This window comes from Homo sapiens, chromosome 3, assembly GCF_000001405.40.
Source record: "Homo sapiens chromosome 3, GRCh38.p14 Primary Assembly".
Taxonomy (NCBI): domain Eukaryota; kingdom Metazoa; phylum Chordata; class Mammalia; order Primates; family Hominidae; genus Homo; species Homo sapiens.
In genome coordinates, this window is record NC_000003.12 from 136,796,101 (window position 1) to 136,821,751 (window position 25,651).

At 44.1% G+C, this 25,651-nt stretch overlaps 1 protein-coding gene and 1 pseudogene across 4 annotated transcripts in view, besides 3 other annotated features; one reads left to right on the forward strand and one right to left on the reverse strand.

The window, feature by feature from the left end:
• Window positions 10,009-10,058: an enhancer, noted in NCBI's record as "active region_20588". NCBI's record gives its function as "activates an Ori minimal core promoter by ATAC-STARR-seq in GM12878 lymphoblastoid cells {active_cell/tissue: GM12878}" and the evidence as "EXISTENCE:reporter gene assay evidence [ECO:0000049][PMID:35858748]".
• Window positions 12,451-13,523, reverse strand: SULT1D1P2 (sulfotransferase family 1D member 1 pseudogene 2; annotated as a pseudogene).
• Window positions 23,026-25,651, forward strand: part of SLC35G2 (solute carrier family 35 member G2) — a 36,763-nt gene continuing 34,137 nt past the window's right edge. The window contains exon 1 of one of the 4 annotated variants that reach the window (XM_017007290.2): window positions 23,026-24,412. The gene's annotated coding sequence lies outside the window, so the exon portion shown is untranslated. The remainder of the gene's footprint in view (window positions 24,413-25,651) is intronic. The other 3 variants (NM_025246.3, NM_001097599.2, NM_001097600.2) reach the window with 3 other exon arrangements.
• Window positions 23,051-23,110: a silencer, noted in NCBI's record as "silent region_14760". NCBI's record gives its function as "represses an Ori minimal core promoter by ATAC-STARR-seq in GM12878 lymphoblastoid cells {active_cell/tissue: GM12878}" and the evidence as "EXISTENCE:reporter gene assay evidence [ECO:0000049][PMID:35858748]".
• Window positions 24,174-24,223: a silencer, noted in NCBI's record as "silent region_14761". NCBI's record gives its function as "represses an Ori minimal core promoter by ATAC-STARR-seq in GM12878 lymphoblastoid cells {active_cell/tissue: GM12878}" and the evidence as "EXISTENCE:reporter gene assay evidence [ECO:0000049][PMID:35858748]".

Sequence of the window (25,651 nt, forward strand, 5' to 3'; positions counted from 1 at the left end):
AGTTTAATCATTGCAAACTATATAGTTTCTGGCACTTTAAAAATACAGACATTTGGCCGGGCGCGGTGGCTCACGCCTGTAATCCCAGCACTTTGGGAGGCCGAGGCGGGCGGATCACAAGGTCAGGAGATCAAGACCATCCTGGCTAACACGGTGAAACCCCGTCTCTACTAAAAATACAAAACATTAGCCGGGCGAGGTGGCGGGCGCCTGTAGTCCCAGCTACTCGGGAGTCTGAGGCAGGAGAATGGCATGAACCCCAGGGCGGGGAGCCTGCAGTGAGCCGAGATCGCGCCACTGCACTCCAGCCTGGGCGACAGCGAGACTCCGTCTCAAAAAAAAAAAAAAAATAGACATTTTAAAATTAAGTCATTATATAACTTTTAAATAAATCCAGTGGAATCTAAATAACAAAGCAATTCAATATTTGATATCCTCCCCATCAACATTATTATCATTATTATTATTTTTTGGAGATAGAGTCTTGCTCTGTGGCCCAGGCTGGAGTGCAATGGTGTGCAACGGTGTGATCTCGGGTCACTGCAACCTCCGCCTCCTGGGTTCAAGTGATTCTCCTGCCTCAGCCTCCTGAGTAGCTGAGATTACAGGTGCCCACCACCATGTCGGCTTTTTTTTGTATTTTTAGTAGAGATGGGGTTTCACCATGTTGGCCAGGCTGGTCTTGAACTCCTGACCTCAGGTGATCAGTCCACCTGGGCCTCCCAAAGCACTGGGATTACAGGCGTGAGCCATCACACCTAGCCCCAAACCAACATCCATTTAAAAAATACATGAACAGTCCATCTCAGTGGCTCACGCCTATAATCCTAGCACTTTGGGAGGCTGAGGCAGGCAGATCATGAGGTCAAGAGATTGAGACCATCCTGGCCAACATGGTGAAACCTCGTCTCTAATAAAAGTACAAAAATTATCTGGGTGTGGTGGTGCGCACCTGTAGTCCCAGCTATTCAGGAGGCTGAGGCAGGAAAATCTCTTGAACCTGGGAGGCGGAGGTTGCAGTGAGCCGAGATGGCACCACTGCACTCCAGCCTGGCAACAGAGTGAGACTCTGTCTCAAAAACAAAACAAAACAAAACAAAACACGAACAACCTCTTTTTCAGCAGAAAATTTTACATTGGCCTTTTTTCTCCTTGAACTTATATTTCCATTCCACTTTCTCCACAGATTTTTTTTTTTTTTGAGACAGAATTTCACACCCGTTGCCCAGGCGGAAGTGCAATGGCACAATCTTGGCTCACTGCAACCTCCGCCTCCCGGGTTCAAGCGATTCTCCTGCCTCAGCCTCCCAAGTGGCTGGGATTACAGGCACACACCACCACGCCCGGCTAATTTTTGTATTTTTAGTAGAGATGGGGTTTCACCACATTGGCCAGGCTGGTCTTGAACTCCTGACCTCGTGATCTGCCCGCCTCAGCCTCCCCAAGTGCTAGGTTTACAGGCATGAGCCACTGCACCCAGCCCACAGAATTTTTTTATACTTGAAAGTCTTTTATTGATCACACCATCATACTTCTTGGCAACAAAAATTATGTATGTAAATTAAAATGGAATTAATTAGAAAGAAGTTTATTAATGAGATGGAAGGCTATTTTTATTCTATTTTATTTTATTTATTTATTATTTTTGAGACGGAGTCTCACTCTGTCACCCAGGCTGGAGTGCAGTGGCGCGATCTCGGCTCACTGAAAGCTCCACCTCCTGGGTTCATGCCATTCTCCTGCCTCAGCCTCCCGAGTAGCTGGGACTACAGGTGCCCGCCACCACACCTGGCTAATTTTTTGCAGTTTTTGTAGAGATGAGGTTTCACCGTGTTAGCCAGGATGGTCTCGATCTCCTGACCTCATGATCCGCCCACCTCAGCCTCCCAAAGTGCTGGGATTACAGGCGTGAGCCACTGCGTCCGGCCGATGGAAGGCTATTTTTAAAAATTGTTTCATGAATGCATGAGTGAAATTTTTTTATTGCTGAAATGAGATAGCATTTAGAATCATTCACATTTCTTTTTTGTTTATGTGTGTATACATATACACATAACATATATATGGCTCTGACAAATCTTTATATAAATAAGATGATGGGAATAGAAGAATGGAAGACATTTTGTTATAACCAAATGTCACTCAAGCTTCAAACTCCTCCTAAGTTATATGCCAAAAAAAGATATATTATAAAAAATTATTTTTGTTGAACGATCAGCTGACAACTTGATTAGATCCTCCTCTGATTTTGTTGACATTAAAGAATAGGAAACACCAGGCTTATAAACAATCTTGTTATCCAATGATTCACTTTCTCAGCACTAAGACCAAAATATCATACCTCCTCCAACACACACACACACGCACACGCACGCACACACACACACACCAAACACACCACAGACACACACCACCCACACATCCTTTCACTCTTTCTTGGTGCACTAGAGTGAGATTCAGGATGGGTGGGAAGTGTGTGCTCTCTTTAGTGCAGAGGGGGAAGGATAACTGTAAAAATGGTAGATAGGAAATGAGAACCTGAGAGATAAAAATCAGTACCAAACATTTAGCAAAAAAGAAACAAGAAAGTTGAGGATCTGAAATTTGATTTTCTTTTCTTCAATTCTTTCCTTTTTTTGAGATGGGGTCTTGTTCTGTCACCAGGGTGGAGTGCAGTGGCATGATCTCGGCTCACTGCAGCCTCCGCCTCCCAGGTTCAAGCGATTCTCCTGCCCCAGCCCCCCTAATAGCTGGGACTACAGGCGTACACCACCATGCTGGGCTGATTTTTGTATTTTTAGTAGAGATGGGGTTTCACCATGTTGGCCTAGAACTTCTGACCTCGAATGATCTGTCTGCCTCGGCCTCCCAAAGTCCTGGGATTACAGGCGTGAGCAGCTGCACCTGGCCTGAAATTTGGTTTTCTTAGAACCATCTTGCACTTGAATCCTTTGGAAAGTCTTCACATGCTTCTAAGGCTACACACATTCCTCAGGTGGAGGACCATTGTCTTAGGACATATTATTGCTGTCCTGTGTGGGAGCAAGAATGGGAACGTCTACCTCTCAGGTCCGGAATAAACTTTCTAAACAAGAATTTTCTAAGAAAAGGAAATCCCTTCTTGTATCTTGCCATGTTGGCCTTGCCTTAACCTTGAAATGCTTGTCTTGGGGGTATTCCTTCTGCACCTTGAGTTTTTCTCTCTGTATATGATCCTTATTGAGCTCCATTTCTTAGCCTTGGGTCCTTCCTTGGTGGCTGTCCTCTTAGATGAAAAATACTAAGGGATTTCTTTTCTATCTCTATCCTGATTCACAGGGATTGACCCCAGGAAAAGATTCCAAGATAGTCATTATCTTTGGTGGAGGAGGGACAGATTCTTGTTTTGGACCTACAGAAAAGGATATGAGAGATCCCTAAGTCTGATCAAGTAAGTCTTCAAGCTGGGTGCACAACACAAATTTCCCCAATTCTGACTATCCGCACACCTCTAAATGCTCCCTTCACACCAACTCTCCCAGAGACCTGGAAATGTTTTAAATAGCAGAGAATCTATTTGGCAGAAGGGTGGAAAAATGTATTGAAAGAGTCAAGGCTAAAAGCAGTGAGACTATTTAGGAGAACTTTGTGACCACTTAAAAGACCTTTATGGCCTGTGCAAGAGATAATGATAGCCTAAACTCAGGCAGGAGCAGAGGGGATGGAAGGAATGTGTTAACTTGGGAGATGTTAAAGAAGTGGAAACGATTTACTCAACTTATGACTGATTGGATGAAGGTGATGACAGAGGGTATGGTTTAGGATGAGTTCCATTTTTCTGATATGGGCAACTAGATAAATTGTAGTACTGATATGGTTTGGATCTGTGTCCCCATCCAAACCTCATGTTGAATTGTAATCCCCAATGTTGAAGATGGGAGGTAATTGGATCATGGGGGCAGTTTCTTATGGTTTAACATCATCCCCCTTGGTGCTGTCATGGCAATAGTGAGTTGTCGTGAGATCTGGTTGTTTAAAAGTGTGTGACACCCCTCCCGTCCTGCTCCTACTCCAGCCACGTAAGAGAAGCCTGCATCCCCTTCGCCTTCTGCCATGATTGTTAAGTTTTCTGAGGCCTTCCCAGAAGCCAAGGAGGTGGCCAGCATCATGTCTCCTGTACAGCCTGCAGAACTGTGAGCCAATTAAACCTCTTTTCTTTATAAATTACCCAGCCTTAGGTATTCCTTTATAGCAGTGTGAGAATGGACTAATACAAGTCCCATTCACCCATTAGGCACAAAGTAAAAATGAATTTGAGGAGAAGATGGCAAGTTCAATTTTTGCATGATTAATTGGAGGGAGCTGCTGGATAGACAGGAATACTTATAAAGTAGGTGGTTCAATACATGGGTCTGGAGCCCAGGAAAGGGCTCTGAATTAAAGATACAAATTTAGGAATCAGTAGTGTATAGGTGTAAATTCAAGCCATGAGAGAGGATTAAATTACCCAGAGAGAGGGTATAGAAAGGGATGAGAAGAGTGCTAAGTGCAGAATGCTTAGAAAAACAAACACAAGTCTGGGTAAGGTAGAGACACCAGCCAAAGAGATGTTGAAAACAGAAGAGAGGGAGGAGAGCTTCCAGGAACACGTACATTGTCCTAGAGTCATATGTCTCAAAATATGAGTGGATCTTTCTTTTTCTCTCTCTCTCTTTTTTTTTTTTTTTTTGAGATGGAGTGTCATTCTGTCCCCCAGGCTGGAGTGCAGTGGCGTGATCTTGGCTCACTGCAACCTCTGCCTCCCTGGTTCGAGTGATTCTCCTGCCTCAGCCTCCCAAGTAGCTGTGGCATTACAGGGGCCTACCACCATGGCCAGCTAATTTTTGTATTTTTAGTAGAGACAGGGTTTCATCATGTTGGCCAGGTTGGTCTGGAACTCCTGACCTCAGGTGATCCACTCTCCTCGGCCTCCCAAAGTGTTGGGATTACAGGTGTGAACCACCATGCCCGGCCTCTTTTTTTTTTTTTTTTTTTTTTTTTGAGACGGAGCTTTGCTCTGTCGCCCAGGCTGGAGTACAATGGCGCGATCTCAGCTCACTGCAACCTCCGCCTCCTGGGTTCAAGTGGTTCTCCTGCCTCAGCCTCCTGCGTAGCTGGTATTACAGGTGCGTGCCACCATGCCTGGCTAAGTTTTGTATTTTTAGTAGAGACGGTGATTCACCATGTTGGTCAGGCTGATTTTGAACTCCTGACCTCGTGATCTGCCCACCTCAGCCTTCCAAAGTGCTGGGATTACAAGCGTGAGTCACCACGCCCAGCGGAGTGTATCTTTCCTAAATAAATGCAAAAAAAATTAAAACTTTTTTCAATCCTATTGCCCCATTAGTGACTCCCCCATTTCTTTCTTTTGTCTACATGCTAAACTTCTTGAAAGAGTTGTTTTCCATTTCTGTCTCCAATTCCTCATCTCCAACTCTTCTCTTAGAATCCAGCCATGTAGTTTCTGCCTTTTCCATTCTACTGACCTTGACCTCTCAAGGATCTTCAGAATATATTACCAATGGCTTTTTCTCATCCCAGGCTTTTGGAGATGATGCAAAGAAGCACCAGTAGGGGTGTAGGGAAATGAGAAAGAAAAGAGAAGGGAGATAATAAATGGTGTATTTTCAAGTCAGTTACCACTGTGGGCAACTGGAGCTTAATTCTGCTGGGGAACTCTCAGAGTCTGTGTACAGCATAGGCTCAGAGTTATTCTAAGGGGTAAGGAATCTGGCATATATACATACCAACTCTAGTCAGTCCTTGATTGAGGGTTGCTGCATTTGGGTGAGGATGAGGAAGCATTAATTCCCCTGTACTTCTGGCTTGACGGTGCTGAGGCAGAATAGAATCCAGTGACTAAAGGTCCTAAGACATTAGGAGTCAGGAGTCCTGCCCTGTGCGATAAGACCTGAGAAGTTATGGACAGGACACTAAATGGGTCTGCCACATCCCTTCTGGGTCTCCCCAACATATTTTACTCTGCCATACACTCTTTCTTGAAGTATTCTCTTTCTTTGATTCCTGTCCTGGTACCCTAACCTGGTTCCTATTCCCATCTTTGCCCTCTCTTCACCTTGAATAGTTACTTTTTTCTTTCTTCTACGTCTTAAACAGGAGCAAACTGGAAGGTGGAACTCCAGTTGTCAGTCCTCTGTTCTTTGTTTCTTTACAGACTCACTTGATTATTTTTCTAACTTCACTCCCTCAACTCTCGCTTTTATGCAGATTACTCCCAGTGTGTTGTGTATAATTAAGCTCAATGACTTAGCTGTTAAGATCAAGATTTATTTGAAGGTCTTCAGAAAAAAAAAAGACTTTGGCTATCTTTTATAACTCAACAGACTGAAAAATCTATAAATGTCTGCTGGGAGTCATTCAAGAATTACACTTCCAGCTGACAGTGTGAGAAGCAGGCTCAATATATGACTCAGCTTGCAATCAATAGAGCATTATGCTTCAAGGAAATAGGAAAGTCTCACACCAATTTAGAATTTGTCGCTAAATTTAGTCTGACTCTTTGTCCAGAAAGAAGTGCAGCTCCCTACTGTCAAAAGCTGAGCTCTTGGGATTTTTTTGCCTATTTCCTGGGCAGAGCTATAATTAACAATGTTTGCTCTCAAGAAAAGCAGCATGACGTGTGTCCTTAAATCAAGCCTGTGTAAGTGAGTGAGTGTGTGTGTGTGTCTGTGTGTGTGTGAGAGAGAGAGACAGAAAGAGAGAGAGAGAGAGAGACAAGGAGGAGATGATCACGTGGTGATTAGGGAACGGTAGAGTGAAGGAATTGGAGCCTAAGGGAAGAATAAAAGGCTTCATCCATCCCACTGGCTTCTAGGAACTAGCGTGGAAGTGAGAGAATTTTAGATTTTTAGACTGTGCTCAATCTTTTTTCATCATCATTTACAAATTTCTTTGGGCCTGTGTCTGATACCTAAGAGGGGAACACTGAAAATTTTACTGGAAGCTCTGGGCACGTGGGAGGGGCTTGGTAAGAAACCCAAGAATTCTGATTCCTGATTTTTTAATGTGGCCAATTTTAAACACTTTTGGGGTTTTGTTTGTTTTCTTTCTAGATCTTGGAGATCTGTTTGTCCCCAGGGTTCTGAAATTTCATGAAGCTATGCCCTGGTGTGGGCAGACTTTAGAGTGCTATGCTGGCACTCCATAGGCCCTTTCAATCTGGAGACTCTAGGATATTGTCCTGAATTGTTTTGAGGATGATTTCCTTCCCTCTGTTTTCTCTCTTCTCTTTTTCTAGACCCTGTATTTGGATGTTGGACTTCCTGACAGGTCTTCTAATTTTCTTACCTTTTCTGTCCTTTATTCCATCATTTTGTCCTTTTGTCCTATGTTATGGGAGACTCTCTTTCAACCCATTTACTGTGTATTTGTTTTTTTAATTTTTACTGTCTAACTTTAAATTTTCAAGGCTTTCTTCATGTTCTCTGGGTATTCCTTTTCATAAACACACCATTTTCCTCTTTCATTGATGTAATATTCATCTCTCTGAAGATTTTTGGTGATTTATTTTCTTTCTTTCTGTTTTTTTTTTTTTTTTTGAGATGGGGTCTTGAACTACTGGGCTCAAGTAATCTCCTCAGCCTCTGTAGTACCTAGGATTATAGGTGTGCACTACCACACCTGGCTAATTAAAAAACAAACAAACAAAAAAAAACTTTTTGTAGAGATGGAGTCTTGCTATGTTGCCTACGCTGGTCTCAAACTTTTTACCCCATTCAACACTCCTGCCTTGGCCTTCCAAAGTGGTGAGATCACAGACATGAGCCACTGTGCCTGGACTAATTCATGCTTTCTATTTGTCATCTTAGTTTAGGTTTCATCCTGAGACAAAACCTTGGATGACCCACCCTAGTTAGGACCCTCTTCTAGGAAACACAGGTGGTGAGGGAAAGGTCTGGGTCCCTGGAGGTACCTCTGAAGAAGGGAATTCTGTGAACCTAGAAAATTTAATCTTTCCCCTAGACCAAAGAGAGTGGGGATTCCTGCAGTTCTGTCCACGTTGTCTCCTGGGGCTGTGTATCTGCTGAGGTTCGCTGGAGATTCTGTAGGGGAGGGTCAGGATTGACAAAGATTATTTGCTGGCCAAACTTTAGCCAAGCTCCTAACACTTCTCTTAGGCCCATTTGTACACTCCTTTGAAAAATCCAGTTTTAGCAAAGAACCCTGCTAAGTTGGTTTAGCAAGACCCGCCCACACTTGATGTGTGATCACCCTCAAGATCTGACCAGGTTCCACATCCTCCACCATCCCCTAGGTGACGTCTGATCACCCTGGCCTATCTTCAGCAAGAATCCTGTTAGGTTGGTTTAGCCAGAATATCCCTGTTTCCCCTGATGTTTACTCTTTTTATTTATTTATTTATTTTGATTTTCTTTTTTTTTTAGACAGAGTCTCGCTCTGCTGCCCAGGCTGGAGCGCAGTGGCGTGATCTCAGCTCACTGCAACCTCCACCTCCTGGATTCAGGTGATTCTCCTGCCTAAGTCTCCTGAGCATCTGGGATTACAGCACACCACCACACCCGGCTAATTTTTGTATTTTTAGTAGAGACAGGGTTTCTCCATGTTGGTCAGGCTGGTCTCAAACTCCCAACCTCAGATGATCCATCTGCCTTGGCCTCCCAAAGTGCTGGGATTACAGGCGTGAGCCACAGAGCCCGGCCTCATTCATGAACTTTTAAAAACAAAATCAATTTATTAGAGTATCTTAGAAGGTTGGAGATGAAAAAAGCTTAGAAAACATCAAGTTTAACTCTGCCATTTTAGAGCTGAGGAACTTGTAGGTCCAGAGGGGTTAATGGGTTTGCTCAAGGTCACACAGCTACTGAGCAGCAGAGCTAATAGAACTCAAGCCTTCTATCCCCCCTTAGGAGCCTGTGCCTAACACCACCTGCTGTGTGGGCAGGCTGCCAGTCTGCATGTCCACATCTCCTTAAAGATCATTAATGTGGTTCATAAACCACCTTACAGCTGAAGCAGATTTCACTCTAATTTTATCACATTTGTTATTATTACATATAACATTAAATACCCACAGTGAGCAGTCACATCTTGAGTTTTAAAATGAAAGAGTCTTTCCAGATTAATGGAGAGAGAAGTTACTCTGCATTTAGGAAATTTGGTGGCAGGCTGATTGTTCTTTGCCATTAGGCCCCCAATACTTCCACTGGGGCCTAGCTCTGGTGATTCCTCACAGCAGATTCCCTCCCCACTGCCTTGCCTTTTGTTTGTATTTTCATAGTTAAATCTGAGCAGAGGACTCTTAGGTAGTGGATTTTAGTGTATCAAGTACAACTACTGGATATTATTTAAACATTTTTTTTCTAGAGCACAGATCAGGAGTCAGAAAGGATCTTGATGGGGAAGTACCAACCACAGGAAAGAGTTGCTAAGATTAAGTTATTTCTGTTTTGCATTAATTTTTTATTTTTTAAGTTTTTTTATTTTAATTTTTTTAGTATTCTGTTCAATAAATGCTTGTTGAGCAGTAAGTCAAATCAGATTTGGTAGATATCAGAGATGATGAATGTTTGGTGTTTTGGGCCACTCAACACAAATTTCCCCTTTTCTGGGAACTGGTATCTAATATTTATTCCCAGGGTCCGAGTACCTCGGGGAAATCTGGTGCTACCCCTCTACTGCTTTAGAAATGGGATGTTGATATGGGATATGATGTTATTTTAAGCTAGTAAACACCACCCTTATAACCACAGTGATTGGAAGAGAAAGTCCAACCAGACTCAGCTCTGGACTTTGGTTCATCACTGGGAGTGGAGAAGTGCTCGTCTTCCTTTCATGTGAACAAAGAAGCCTGTGGGTCCAGAAACCTTTGATAGTCATCTTGGAACGACAGGGAGAGAAGCCTGCCAAGAATGAAACCAACAATGAAGAAGTAGAATTGAGAAACAGAGAGAAACTTGGTCTTGATCTCGTCATTTTAGGAGCTAAATGAAGACTGGCCTGCAGCTCTGGACTGTTCAATTACATGAACACTTATATTCCCTTATTGCTTGAAACAGCCTGTTTTACTTAATTTAAAAGAATATATCAAGGTCAGGCTCATGCCTGTAATCCCTTTGGGAGGCCGAGGTGGGCAGATCACTTGAAGCCAGGAGTTCAAGACCACCCTGGCCAACATGGTGAAACATACAAAATATAAAAAATACAAAAAATTACCCGGGTGTGGTGGCAGGTGCTGTAATCCCAGTTACTCAGGAGGCAGCATCAGGAGAATCACTTGAGCCTGGGAGATGGAGGTTGCAGTGACCCAAGATAATGCCACTGCACTCCGGCCTGTGTGACAGAACATGATTGTCTCAAAAAAAAAATGTACATGTTCTTCTCTTTTCCATTTCGGTGTATATGACCTTCTCTATAGTCAGCCGCAAGTATCTACCAACCACTGGGGATGGGAGTGGAGATTAGTACTCCTAAAAAAATGGAATTAATTTAGGAAAAAGAAGAGTCAAAGTTCAGCTTTTTACTTGGGTGCAGAAAGGGTAAAAAGGGGAGATAGTGGAGTAAGCAGCCTTGAATCATGATTTTAACCTTTAGGCAGAAATTCCATTAAGGCTATTAAATTGACTGTGAAGAAAGCTGAAAGTAGAGGGTCTTGGATTCCACTCCCTGTTTGGAAATAAGACAGGAGAAAGTCTCACAGGGTGGCTCTGCACCAATACAGGATGGCTAAAGCAGAGTGAAAGAGCAACATGGCACAGATAGAGTGAGACCTGAGTTGACAGTCCTGATCTTATTCAGGCTTTAGCATGGTATGGAAGGGATCCAGAGGTTGCTGCATGCACTGTTATGTACTTAGAAAGTAGCTGATGGTGCTAGCTAGTCTGGCAGAAGGTTATCATGGTGGCAACAAAGTGACCTTGTAGCCAAACCTGCAGGCAAATTACCTGGGTTGCGAATTCTCTGGGAGTCACAGCCAGACATCAGGGGGATCAACAGTGCCAGTGTCAACCAAGTAGGGACAGAGATAATCTGCCCTGTTGCGTTGGCTTGAGTTTCCCCATCAATGATTCCTCATGTGATTTAAAATGTTTTAATTGTACTCATATTTTTTTCTGAGAGTACTGTGTACTATGGGTGGTGACACACTTGACATTTGTATTTGCATTTTTTAGCCCCCAATTTTTTTTTTTAAAGACAAGGTCTTGGTCTGTGGTCCAGTCTGGAATGCACTGGCATGATCCTAGCTCATTGCATCCTTGAACTCCTGTGCTCAAGTGATCCTCCCACCTCAACCTCCTGAGTAGCTAGGACTACAGGTGTGTACCATCACACCTGACTGTTTTTAATTGCTTTATTTTTTGTAGTGATCAGGTCTTGCTATGTTGCCCAGGCCAGTCTTGAAATTCTGGTCTCAAGTGATCCTCCTGCCTCAGCCTCCCAAAGTGCTGGGATTACAGGTGTGAACCACCACACCTGGCCCAAGTTAACATTTTTTTATTGTGGCAAAATATGCATAACATAAAATTTACCATTTTCACCATTTAAAAATTTGTAAACTTCATTTTATTATTTAATGTGTAAGACTAATAAAAATACCATGAAAAGCAATTAGAATCATAAATATAGTATTGTGGTGTTTTTTGTTTTTTTTGAGATGGTGTCTCGCTCTGTTGCCCAGGCTGGAGTGCAATGGCATGGTCTCGACTCATTGCAACCTCTGCCTGCTGGTTCAAGTGATTCTCCTGCATCAGCCTCCCAAGTAGATGGGACTATAGGTGCGTGCCACCACATCTGGCTAGTTTTTGTATTTCTAGTAGAGACAGGGTTTTACTATGTTGGCGAGGGAGATTCAAACTCCTGACCTCGTGATCCACCTGCCTCGGCCTCCCAAAGTGCTGGGATTATAGGCGTGAGCCACAGCACCCGGCCTGTAATGGTTTTTTCTATGTAGACTTTGAAATTCTTTGATTATTGCATTATAAACCATTAATCTAAGTAATTAAGGAAACATCCAGAGAATTTTCTTTCACTAAATGTTTAAAGGAGTTTCTTTTCTTTTAATTTAGATCGTAGTTGAAGGAGATGGAGAAAGAGTAGGTCCTTTTTTTTTTTTTTTTTTTTTTTTGAGACAGTTTCGCTCTTGTCACCCAGGCTGGAGTGCAATGGCGTGATCTCAGCTCACTGCAACCTCTGCCTCCTGGGTTCAAGCAATTATCCTGCCTCAGCCTTCTGAGTAGCTGAGATTACAGGCGCCCACTACCATGGCTGGCTAATTTTTGTATTTTTAGTAGAGATGGGGTTTCATGATGTTGGCCAGGCCGGCCTCAAACTCCTGACCACAGGTGATTCTCCCGCCTTGGCCTCCCAAACTGCTAGGATTGCAGGCATGAGCCACCGCACCTAGTGAGCAGGTCCTTCTTAGATTACTGATTGAAATTGCAGTGTAGACCCTTTCATTTTCTTTTCATAATCTTCAAATTTCTCATACTGAGTGACAAAGAATTTATTCCTCCAGTCTTCAGAAATATCCTTTCTTATGAAGGGAGACAGAATGGTCCATCTGATCATTTTCCATAGTGGTATAATTTCCACTAGGATTCTGCTTTATCACATCAGAAGAGCTATACCAGAGGGTTTTTCCCACAGTTTCTTCTGGCACGTCTTTCTCTATTTAACAGCTTCTGAATTCCACACTTTGAATTCTCTTTCATGTCTTCATAAAAATAGGTAAAAGATACAAAAGTCTTTTCCTTTTCTCCCAGCAGTTTCTGGTATAGTCATACTAGAAACCAAAACACAGCTTTACAGCCATGAATTTATCCAGGAACTCCTCCTAGGTTCCAGGCTCTGGGTGCATTTTTGCCAACTGGTAGAAATAATAAGACACAGCCACATCTTTGGCATTCCATGCCATGAAGGTTATCCTGCAGTCATTCTTCTGAAATAAAGAAGGGAGAAGTTGAATGTGTAGGTATGTTTTCACCAATCAAGGAGATTGCATGTTTTTATTTTATTTATTTTATTTTTATTTTTATTTATTTTTTTTTTTTTGAGACGGAGTCTTGCTCTGTCGCCCAGGCTGGAGTGCAGTGGCGCAATCTCGGCTTACTGTTAGCTCTGCCTCCCAGGTTCATGCCATTCTCCTGCCTCAGCCTCCCAAGTAGGTGGGACTACAGGCGCCTGCCACCATGCCCAGCTAATTTTTTTGTATTTTTTTTAGTAGAGACGGGGTTTCACCATGTTAGCCAGGATGGTCTCGATCTCCTGACCTCGTGATCAGCCCGCCTCAGCCTCCCAAAGTGCTGGGATTACAGGCGTGAAACACCACGCCCAACCGGAGATTGCATGTTTTTCAACTGCTCAACACCACTTGTGAGTTTGGGAATTATAAATTCCATGAAAGGCACTTAGTTTGTATATTGCAACCCATTTAAATTTCTCTGCATCCCCATTGTTACGGATCAAATCCAGTGTTTCACAGATCCAGTTTTGGGACAGGTGGAGGTCAGAAGGTCATTTGGTTGTGCCTCAAGCAACCCCACCTGGGACCACTCCTTAGCAATGCTCCAGAGGAGGAGAATATGCTGAACATCCACTCATTCCCTCCTGAAGCTATCCTGCTTCTTGTCAATTTGAGGAGATTTTTCTGAAGTGCAATTTTTTATCTTCCTTTGTTTTCAACCTTTTTCAACTCCACCCCTGCCTTACCTCATTCAAATTGATTGATTGATTGATTGACTGAGACGGAGTCTCAGTCTGTCGTCCAGGCTGGAGTGCAATGGCGTGATCTTGGCTCACCACAACCTCTGCCTCCCAGGCTCAAGTGATTCTCCTACGCCCGGCCTCATTCAAATATTTTTTATTTAAAAAGATTACAGGGTGGGCTCAGTGGCTCATGCCTGTAATCTCAGGACTTTGGGAGGCCAAGGCAGGTGGATCACTTGAGGCCAGAAGTTCAAGACCAGCCTGGCCAATATGGTGAAACCCCATCTCCACTAAAAATACAAAAAATTAACTGGGCATGGTGGCACAGGCCTGTACTCCCAGCTACTCAAAGAACCTCTTGAACCTGGAGGTGGAGGCTGCAGTGAGCTGAGATCAAGCCACTGCACTCTAGCCTGGGTTACAGAGTGACTCTGTCTCAAAAAAAAAAAAAAAAAAAGAAAAGAAAAGAAAAGAAAAGGAAAGGAAAAAGATTATGGTTATGGTTATGGTTCAAACTATTTGGCAAAAGACAATCAATGACAAAATTATAGGCTGTGCACGGTGGCTCATGCCTGTAATCCCAGCATTTTTGGAGGTCGAGGCAGGCAGATCACCTGAGGTCAGGAGTTCGAGACCAGCCTGACCAACATGGTGAAACCCTGTCTCTACAAAAAATACAAAAATTAGCCAGGCGTAGTGGCAGGTGCTTGTAACCCCAGCTACTTGGGAGGCTGAGGCACAAGAATCACTTGAACCCAGGAGGTAGAGCCTGCAGTGAGCCAAGATTGCACCACTGCACTCCAGCCTGGGCAATAGAGTGAGACTCTTTCTCAAAAAAAAAAAAGTTATAATAAATTTAGCTTAAAGACTTCAACTGGCTTTATTTGTGATTCTAGAATCAAGGCAACACTTTATTCTTTAAAATAAACTAAGTGTTCCCCCATTTTAGTCATTTTTAAGTGAACAGTTCTATGGCATTAAACATATGCACATTGTTGTTCAACCATCACCACCACCCATCTGCAGAACTCTTCTGTCTTTCCCAACGGAAACTTTGTACCATTAAACACTAAGTCCCCATTCTCCACCCCAGCCTCAGTACCACCATTCTACTTTCTGTCTGTATGAATTTGACTACTCTAGGTACCTCATATAAGTGGAATAATAAAGTATTTGTATTTGTCCTTTTGGCCTATTTCACTTAGCATAATATTATTAAGGTTCATGCATGTAATAGCATGTGTCAGAATGTCCTTCCTTTTCAAGGCTGAATTATATTTCACTGTCTGTGTATACCATACTTTTTAAATTCATTCATCCATTGACAAACACTTGAGTTACTTCCACATTTTAGCTATTGTGATTAATGCTGCTATGAACATGGGTGTACAAATATCTGTTCAAGTCTCTCATTTCACTTCTTTTGTTTATGTATCATAAGTAAAATGACTGGATCAGGCTAGGCACAGTGGCTCATGCCTGAAATCCCAGCACTTTGGGAGGCCGAGGTGGGCAGATCATCTGAGGTCAGGCGTTCGATACCAGACTGGCCAACATGGTGAAACTGCGTCTCTACAAAAATTAGCTGGCATGGTGGCACAGACCTGTAGTCCTAACTACTCTGGAGGCTGAGGTGGGAAGATCACTTGAACCTGGGAGGTGGAGGTTGTAGTGAGCTAAGATCATGCCATTGCACTCCAGCCTGGATGACAGAGTGAGACACTGTCTCAAATTTAAAAAAAAGGAAAAAAGAAAAAAAGAAAAAGAAGTAAAAGTACTGGATCATATGGCAAATCTGTCTTTAATTTTTTGAGGAATCGTTATACCAGTTTCCCCAGTGGTTATGATGCAGGATTTTCTGCTCCTTAGTTCAGCTAAAATCCAGCGTATTGTCTCATGACCAGGAAAAATTAGGCATGCAGATGCATTGAAGGGTGAGGAGGGCAGATTTATTGGGTGAAAAGAAAACTCTCGGCAAAGAAAGAGGGGGTCTTGTGAACAGGCTTTCACCTCACAGATTAAATACCAGGCCACCACACATGAGCTGAAGAGGCCAGGCTCTTCCCCCTGCATAAGGTGTGAATTCCCGGTGGCTCCACCCCATTCTCTCAGTGCACAGGCATTGCAGGCATGCCCAGGGAAGACTCTGGGCAGGTTCCCTCATCTGCACAAAAGCATATGATGTTTGGGACGGTGAGAGATTATCTGGGAACCCTCCCTTATCTGCCTCCTGTATCTGTCAGCTATAGCATTTTACAATTCCCACCAGCAATGCAACAATGCCAATTTTTCCACATATCCTTGCCAACACTTGTTATTTTTTGGTGTTTTGATAGTACTTTTCCTCATGAATATGAAGGGGTATCTCATTGTGGTTTTTAATTTGCATTTCCCTAATAATTAGTGATGTTGAGCATCTTTTCATCTTTTCACGTGCTTCTAGGCCATTTGTATATCTTCTTCTTTTTTTTTTTTTTGAGACAGAGCCTCACTCTGTCACCCAGGCTGAAGTGCAGTGGTGCGATCTCGGCTCACTGCAACTTCTGCCTCCTAGGTTCAAGGGATTCTCCTGCTTCAGTCTCCTGAGTAGCTGGGACTACAGGCGCGTGCCACCACGCCCGGCTAATTTTTTGTATTTTTACTAGAGATGGGTTTCACTGTGTTAGTCAGGTTGGTCTTGATCTCCTGACCTCGTGATCCGCCCGCCTCGGCCTCCCAAAGTGCTGGGATTACAGGCATGAGCCACCTCGCCTGGCCAAATTTTTTTTTTTTTTTTTTTGAGACAGTGTCTTGCTCTGTCACCCAGGCTGGAGTGCAGTAGCATGATCTCGGCTCACTGTAACCTCCGCCTCCTGGGTTCAAGTGACTCTCCTGCCTCAGCCTCCCAAGTAGCTGGGATTACAGGCACCTGCCACCGTGGCTGGCTAATTTTTGTATTTTTAGTAGAGACGGTGTTTCACCACGTTGGCCAGGCTGATCTCAAACTCTTGACCTCAAGTGATCCACCCACCTCGGCCTCCCAAAGTGCTGGGATTACAGGCATGAGCCACCACACACAGCCCATTTGTATATCTTCTTTAGGGAAATGTCTATGCAAATCCTTTGCCTGCCCTTCCTCCCCGGCTTTTTTTTTTTTTTTTTTGAGACAGGGTCTCACTCTGTTGCCCAGGCTGGAGTGTACTGGCTCTATCTTGTCTCACTGCAACCTCCTACTCCTGGATTCAACTGATCCTCCCACCTCAGCCTCCCAAGTAGCTGGGAACTACAGGGACATCCAGCTAATTTTTGTATTTTGCGGGGGTAGAGATGAGGTCTCACTATATTGCCTAGGCTGGTCTCAAATTCCTGGGCTCAAACGATCTGCCTACCTCAGCCTCCCAAAGTGCTGGGATTATAGGCATGAGCCATCGTGCCTGGCCCTTTGCCTATTTTTAAAAGGGGTTGGATTTTGTTGTTGCTGCTGTTGAGTTGTAGGAGTTGAGTTATTTATGTATGCTGGATATCAATCTTTTATTAGATATATGATTTGCAAATATTTTCTTCCATTTCATGGGTTGCCTTCTAATCTGTTGGTAGTGTTTTTGATGCACAAAAGACATTTAATTTTGATAAAGTCCAACTGATCTATTTTTTATCTTATTGCCTGTGCTTTTTTTGTGTTACATCTAAGAAATCATTGCCAAATCCAATGTATTGAAGGTTTTCTTCTATGTTTTCATTTTTTTTTATTTTGAGATGGAGTTTCACTCTTGTTGCCCAGGCTAGAGTGCAATGGCGTGATCTCGGCTCACTGCAACCTCTGCCTCCCAGATTCCAGTGATTCTCCTGCCTCAGCCTCCCAAGTAGCTGGGATTACAGGCATGTGCCACCATGCCCAGCTAATTTTATATTTTTAGTAGAGATGGGGTTTCACCATGTTGGTCAGGCTGGTCTAGAACTCCTGACCTCAGGTGATCCGCCTGCTTAGGCCTCCCAAAGTGCTGGGATTATAGGTGTGAGCCACTGCGCCCAGCCTATCCTATGTTTTCTTCTGAGAGTTTTATAGTTTATACTCTTATATTCAGGTCTTTGATCCACTTTGAAACTCCACACAGTCAATAATCCACATACAACTTTTGACTCCCCCCAAACTTCACTATTAATAGCCTACTGTTGACTCAAAGTCTTACTGATAACAGAAAGAGTTGATTATCACACATTTTGTATGTTATATGTATTTGGTATGTATTCTTACAATAGAGTCAGCTAGAGAAAAGAAAATGTTAGTAAGAAAGGTCCACCTGCCTCGGCCTCCCCAAGTACTGGGATTACAGGCGTGAACCACCGCACCTGACCGCAGTTATGATTTAATACTGCATCTTCGTGTTTGTTTACATTTCTCTTGACTGCAAATGGTGCCATATACAGTCTGTGTTTGTGTAAGTTTTGATAAGTTTTTTTTTTTTTTTTTTGAGATGGAGTTTTGTTGTTTCACCCAGGCTGCAGTGCAGTGGTGCAATCTCGGCTTACTGCAACCTCCGCCTTTCAGTTTCAAGAGATTCTCCTGCCACAGCCTCCCAAGTAGCTGGGATTACAGCCACCATGCCTGGCTAATTTTTATATTTTTAGTAGAGACGGAGTTTCACCATGTTGGCCAGGCTGGTCTCGAATTCCTGACCTTGTGATCTGCCCACCTTGGTCTCCCAAAGTGCTGGATTACAGGTGTGAGCCACTGCGCCCGGCCCAGTTTTGATAAATTTTAACTTTTTTTTTTTTGAGACAGAGTCTCACTCTGTCACACAGGCTGGAGTGCAGTGGCGCAATCTGGGCTCACTGCACCCTCCACCTCCTGGGTTCAAGTGATTCTCCTGCCTCAGCCTCCTGAGTAGCTGGGATTACAGATGTGCACCATCAAGCCCGGCTAATTTTTGTATTTTTAGTAGAGATAGGGTTTCACCATGTTGGCCAAGCTGGTCTCGAGTGATCCACCCGCCTCAGCCTCCCAAAGTGCTGGGATTACAGGTGTGAGCCACTGCACCTGGCCTGATAAATTTTAATGTTTTATAATAGATTTGTGTATATTTTACGACAGTAAATGATAGAATGGACAAGTATCTACATATATTTTATGCATTCATGATGTACCTAACTTTTTCTTAATTTTTTTTCTATATTTCTAGGCTATATGGTTTGTAAATTTTTTCAAATGGTCACAAATCTCCAAAAACTTTTCTAATATATTTACTGAAAAAAAAAGGGCCACATATAAGTGGATCTGTCTACTTCAAACTGATGTTGTTCAAGAGTCAACTGTACTGAGCTTTGTATCTGATTGTGAGAGTGAAGTCGATGATGTTGATAAGAGGAAATAAGTATCTCCAGAATGGTAATGAGGAACTCTGGTAACTTATTCAGGGCTTTGAGGATTCTAGTTCTTTGCTGGGATCAGAAAAGGGGCCACTTAAATAAAAATTATGAGTATATGAAAACTCAGACTAAAATACATTCTAAGAATATTTTCTGGTATCTCTTTGTATAGGAACAGCAAGACATTTCACTTTATTTTTTGTTTTGTTTTTTATTTATTTGATTTTTTTTTTTGAGACAGAGACTTGCTGCAATGCCCAGGTTGGAATGCAATGGTGTGATCTCAGCTCACTGCAACCTCTGCTTCCTGGGTTCAAGTGACTCTCCTGCCTCAGCCTCCCGAATAGCTGGGATTACAGGCATGCACCACCATGCCCGGCTAATTTTTGTATTTTTACTACAGACGTGGTTTCACCATATTGGCTAGGCTGGTCTCGAACTCCTGACCTCAAGTGATCTGCCCACCTTGGTCTCCCAAAGTGCTGGGATTACAGACGTGAACCACTGTGCCGGCTGACATTTCACCTTATTTTTTAAGTTAAAGAAACAGTTCAGCTGCCTCGCTGTCATTTTCAAAAGAAACACTAGTTTGGTATCCACAAAAAATACTGGAAAGCAATATACATCTTAACCAAAGTTGTTTTGAGATGTACCTGTAGTGGATATTTTCTTTTTTCACCTGCCCATCACTATATGGTTTGTTCTGGTAAAAAGAATCTTGATTTTCTTTTGGAGGATGAACTCTCCCCTATTCTCTGTCTCTAGATTTTTTTTTTTTTTTTTTAGATGGAGTTTTGCTTTTGTTGCCCAGGCTGGAGTGCAATGGCATGATCTGGGCTCACTGCAACCTCCGCCTCCTGGGTTCAAGCGATTCTCATGCCTCTGCCTCCTGAGTAGCTGGGATTACAGGTATGTGGCACCACATCTGGCTAAATTTTTTTTTTTTTTGAGACGGAGTCTCGCTCTGTCATCCAGGCTGGAGTGCAGTGGTGTGATCTCGGCTCACTGCAAGCTCCACCTTCTGGGTTCACGCCGGTCTCCTGCCTCAGCCTCCTGAGTAGCTGGGACTACAGGCGCCCGCCACCATGCCTGGCTAATTTTTTTGGATTTTTTAGTAGAGATGGGGTTTCACCATGTTAGCCAGGATGGTCTCGATCTCTTGACCTCATGATCCGCCCGCCTTGGCCTCCCAAAGTGCTAGGATTACAGGCGTGAGGCACTGCACCCAGCCATAATTTTGTATTTTTAATAGAGACGGGTTTCTCCATGTTGGTCAGGCTGGTCTCGAACTCCTGACCTCAGGTGATCCGCCTGCCTTGGCCTCCCAAAGTGCTAGGATTACAGGCATGAGCTACTGCGCCTGGCCCTGTCTCTAGATTAAGGTATATGAGTTTGCTAATGAAACATAAGCTCAATATTTTATTGGAACTACTGGGAAATAAGTGCTCTGCTTCTTTTGGAATGGTTAGCTATAAAGATGATATAAGTTGAACACTGGGGAAAGGTGGGGAGGTGGCAAGAAATCACTATGTGAAAACAAACTCTTTGATGTCAACAAAGAGGAAAGGAGAGATCATGTCCTGATGTCAATGTTTGCATTCGTGAATCTAGTCATATCTGAAGTTACCTATCTATGGATTTTTCAGTTATTAAGCCAAATATACTCCTTTTCTTAAATCAGTCTGAGTTTAAGTTTTTGACACTTGTAAGGAAAAGCCCTATGTATCATAGCACAAAATAATTCCATTTATTAAACATCACAAAATGTCTAAAAATCCTCTTTCATATCTTTCTATACCTTGGTGTCACTCAGAATGTCAGCTGTGCTAAATCCCTAGTCTCACTCTCTCAAAACTCCCAGAAACCATCTCTCCTAGTCAGCTCATTCCAGGTCTTTTTTTCTTACTCCCTTACTCAAACTTTGCTGGTCGCCTTCCTTATCCCCACCCCATCCCACCTTCTCCAAAACAAAAAATCTGAGCCTTGCAGATCAGCCGAGCCTTCTGAGGCTCCTTTTGCTTCTTTACCTCTATTCCTTATTGAGATCAGCACAATTAATGCATGTCTGAACAACAAATGATCCTTTCTCTTTGGAAGGGTGAAAGTTTGGAAATATTTACATGTTAAATGTTCTGTTCTGGTCTCATTTGTATTCAGTACAAATAGTGTGTTTGCTTGGACATTAATTTTATTTGCAAATAGCTACAGCTGGGGGTCCCTTTGGGTAAGTCTTGCTAAGATACTGCATTGGTGGGTTTTTTGTTTATTTTGTTTTTGTTTTGTTTTTCAAGGGGATGGGGAAGGAATCAAAGTAGTCAAATCAGTTTGGTTGTTTTTACAAGCCCGAGAAATGGTCAAATTTTGGATTCAGACCAAGCACACCATAGTGTGCTAGAGGCAATTTAATGACTTCCTACCCTCTTGCCTTTTTCCCCCTCTTTGGGAACATTCTTGGATTTTCTACAGAAACAGCCAGAGGCTCTCAATTGACAATTGCCTCACTCAGCAGTTTCTTGTTAAGCACACTTGTCAGACACTGTTTCCAGGACTCTCTTAAGTGTCCTAAGAATATTGACTCATTCAAAAGCAGCCCAGCTGTAGTTGGGAGAGCACCAGCACTTGCTCTATAAAGATCTAGATTGTCTCTCTACCTCAAGAGGAATCCAAAATCCTGTTATGCTGGACTCTGAAATGATCCCCAGCCCTTTGGTGATCACACTGTTTATGAGCAGTCTGAATTCCATTCTTGGGTCTACCTAAACTAGCACCCTCGGGCTATGGGGCCCAGTGGGGAGACCACCTAGCATGCTGGCTGCCTGGAGCCCAGGGAACTGTCAAGATGGCTCTGGAAGACTTCTCGCCTTTTAAAAGCCCCGTATTTCTTTTACATATATTTTTGTCCTCATGAATTTTGCCAACCGCAATGGACTAAAATCTATTATAGCGTCCTGGAAAGGTGGGGAAAAGATGGGATAGTTGAGGAGAGTTTAATGAAGGGACTATTTAAAAAGGTGTGGATGGGGTTAAAGGAAACCTCTGGGCGTCATTACCCACTCCAGGCCTGAAGGGGCAAGGGTAGTTAGTGGTAACCAGAACCTGGAGAAAACTGCAGGAGAGGGCCACAGGATGGGAGTAATGGCTTTCAGATGAAGAACATAGCCACTGCTAACAGGGTGGCCCGCTGGGGATGCAGGGGAGGTCCTGAATCACATCCTGCCTTCTGATCTGCAGGTGCCTCCCACTTGCCAAAACCAATTGAAAGCCAGATTATAGTTGACGTAGCCCATAAAGGTCAGTCCTGAGTCACAGAGCAGAGTGGAGAGTGGGTCTGAAGGGACAGAGGAAAAACCAGCAAGCACCTCCTGTTTTTTCCCACAGCCAGCACCTTGGTTCAGCCCTTACCCTTTCTTGCCTGTCCCCTGGACCCATCAAATCCACTGCTTTTAATGACCAGTCTGTTTCCAAGAGGCTATATTCATTCCACTTGGGACTGGGGCATATGCACTTGGGTAGAAGAACCAGCTGTGCAGTGTCAAGACCCTTCCCTCAGAGACCTTATCAGTAAAATGGCGGGTGGACTCGGGGATGCCCGAAGACTTTTCCGGACCACGATTTTCCGATGCTGGACACATATTTAAACATGAAGGAATAGACTTGCGACTTTTAAGCGCAAACAATGGGTGGAAATGGACAGAAACTGCCTCCGTGCCCACTTGCAGCGGACTACGTAGCCCTGGCAGACAGGCAATTGCTTCAAACAAGCGCCCTCCAAGGGCGTAAGCTAGAGGGGCCCGGGCGGGCGCTTTCCCGTGGACCCTCCCACCTCGCGGGTAGAGGAAGTCCTTCAGTTCAGGCACAACCCTGAGCGTCCCCCGCAGTCTCCAACTCCGGCGCCAGTCAGGTTGTGGGGTGGGGGCGGCGGAGGGCGGAGAGCGCAGGCGCAGAGTCCGCGCGGCGGCGCCCCTCTCCCTCCGCAGTACTCCGGGCAGCGCCCGCCTCGATTTTCCCAGGCGAGGGCACGCCCGCGTCAGTCGCCTCCGGGGCACCTTCCTCGCCACGACACGCAGGTAACCGGGCCCCGGGAGCCGGTCGGCGGCGGCGGACTGGGACCTTGATCCTGCCTGCCCGGCCGCCCGACAAGGGAATGAGAGCGGACCCCGAACTCCACACACCCGCGTTTAGCCGCCACACCTAAGGGGCACAACAGTCTTTTTGGGTAAGGGCCGGGCTGGGGGCGACGCGCCCCGCCCGCTTTGCAGACTTCGGGGTGCTCTGCACGACGCCTGAAAGGCCGCGGGGCCCGCATTTCTCTGTGCTGCCCTCCTGGAGAACCGGGACACGGGGACGGGAGGGCCAGCATCGGCTACGGCCCGGTTTCCCGTTTCTTTCCGCTGTCGCGTGTCTGGGCCCTCCTGCAGCGTCCATGATGAAGGCCAGGGGCTGTTGCTTTCCTCTCGCCCAGTAGCCAACCCAAGCAAGGGGTGAGTCACTGTGGCGTCATATGGGATCAATTTCAAATACAAGTTTTAAAAAAGGCTGGATGATTTTAGAAATATGGCCAAGAATTTGTATTTTCCATTACTCTCTTGTCTCATGTCCATGACTCTTGAACGCCAGTCTGTGGGCGCTGAGATTTTCGTGGTACATCGACGGTTTGTAGACATCTTTTCCCAAGGGAAGACGAGGGCAAGGGTTAGTGGAGGAAGGGCCTCGTCACGGCCGAGAGTGGCGGAGAAGGCTCAGGGCAAGTCCGCACAGCCTCCAGCAGCCACGGGGAGGAAAAGGCGAATCTTTCCTCACAGTGCTCTGGGCGCTGTAGAATTTCTACGCCACGTGCACCCATTTGGCCTCATTTGAGAGGAGGAGAGGGAAGAAGGGTCGCGCGGGCCGGCAGGAAAGAGACTCGTGTTGCGGCGGATGAAGGCTCAGCGCGGACCTGCATCTCGGGCCAGGTTTTCTTTCACCCGGCTCCGCGAGGAGCGAGGCGGAAAGCTCGGGTCCGAGTGTTGATCGAGGACCTGGAGATAGTAACCCCCCACGTCCAGAGTGCTGGGGGTGGGTCCAGAGGGCTGGGGGTAGGTCCAGAGGGCTGGGGGTAGCTCCGGAGGAGCGATCTTCCTCCGCGGGAAAGGACTTGGCTCAGGCTTGCCTATGTCCGTGGTGCTGAAGTGCCTCGCGCGCCCTCGTCGACTGACTTCCTGGGCCGCGGCCTGCGTTGCCCTTCTACTCTGCACCTTTGCCAAAAATAGCCCATCTCCATGGCTGGTGGCCAGAGTGGAGCAGGCCCAACACTGAAACTCTTTTCAGACAAGTTGAGGCTGGTTTCCTGAACATAACCCGAAAGCAAATGTGGCTTGCCTTGGAGGTACAGATAAGCATATGCATAACAGATTTTATTACCTATGAGAAAGTACACACCATGAGCGTAAACAGGAATTCTCACATATACTTATGAAAGATACAGGTATGTGCATTTACGCACAAACCTAACACACATGCAAATACACTCATCCCTTTTGAAAACCATTACACACTACAAGCCACACATTTTTTAGAGCTTTTGTAATCCATCTTTATTTTTTGACACTTCTAGTAAATGTGAACTCTGCAGAGCCATTTATTTTCATAATCATCTGTTCCAAAGGCACAGAGCCTGTGGATTGAAGTGTTTGGTATTTGGCTGAGCAATTAAGTATTTATACTCATTTACATTCCAGAACAAAAGTCTAGGAAGATGTAAAATTGATATTGATACCAAAAAAATTCCTTAAAGAAAGCTTAAGGAAAATGAATTAATGTAAATTTTAATAAGAACAACATATAAATAATCATAGAAATTTATAATCTTAACATATGACTAAAATGTATCATAATGCAGACAATTTTAAATATATTGGTGGTATGTGGTTTGTGTGAAGTTCTTAAAGTTTACATTTGTATTTTTCAAAAACATTGGTATTGTTTTTTCCTTAAAAAATATATGCTCATTATAAGAATTTTAGGTAATAGAGAAATGCATAAACATAGAAAACCATTGTAAACAGATTTTCATTTAGATGAACATGCATACATTTTAAATGGACCAATCCTCTATTGGTTGCGTTTTTGCTATATAATTTATAATTAATGTCTTTCATCATAAAACTAGGTCATCATTATTAAGGGTTGCATAATATTGATCTGTGTGGATAGAATGTAAGTTTTTTAAACAATCCCATAATGAACATTTATGTCCAATTTTTTAGACTTAAAAAAATTATTGTGGAAAGAATATGTAACATGAGATCTATCCTCTGAACAAAAAAAAAATTTTTTTTTGAGACATTGTCTTGCTTGTTGCCCAGACTGGAGTGCAGTGACGTGCTCTCCGCTCACTGCAACCTCTGCCTCCCGGGTTCAAGGGATTCTCCTGCCTCAGCCTCTTGAGTAGCTGGCCACCGCACCCAGCTAGTTTTTATATTTTTAGTAGAGACAGGGTTTTACCATGTTGGCCAGGCTGGTCTTGAACTCCTGTCCTCAGGTTATCTGCCTGCCTTGGCTTCCCAAAGTGCCAGGATTACAGGCGTATGCCACTGCACCCGGGCCTGCCTTCTTAACAAAATTT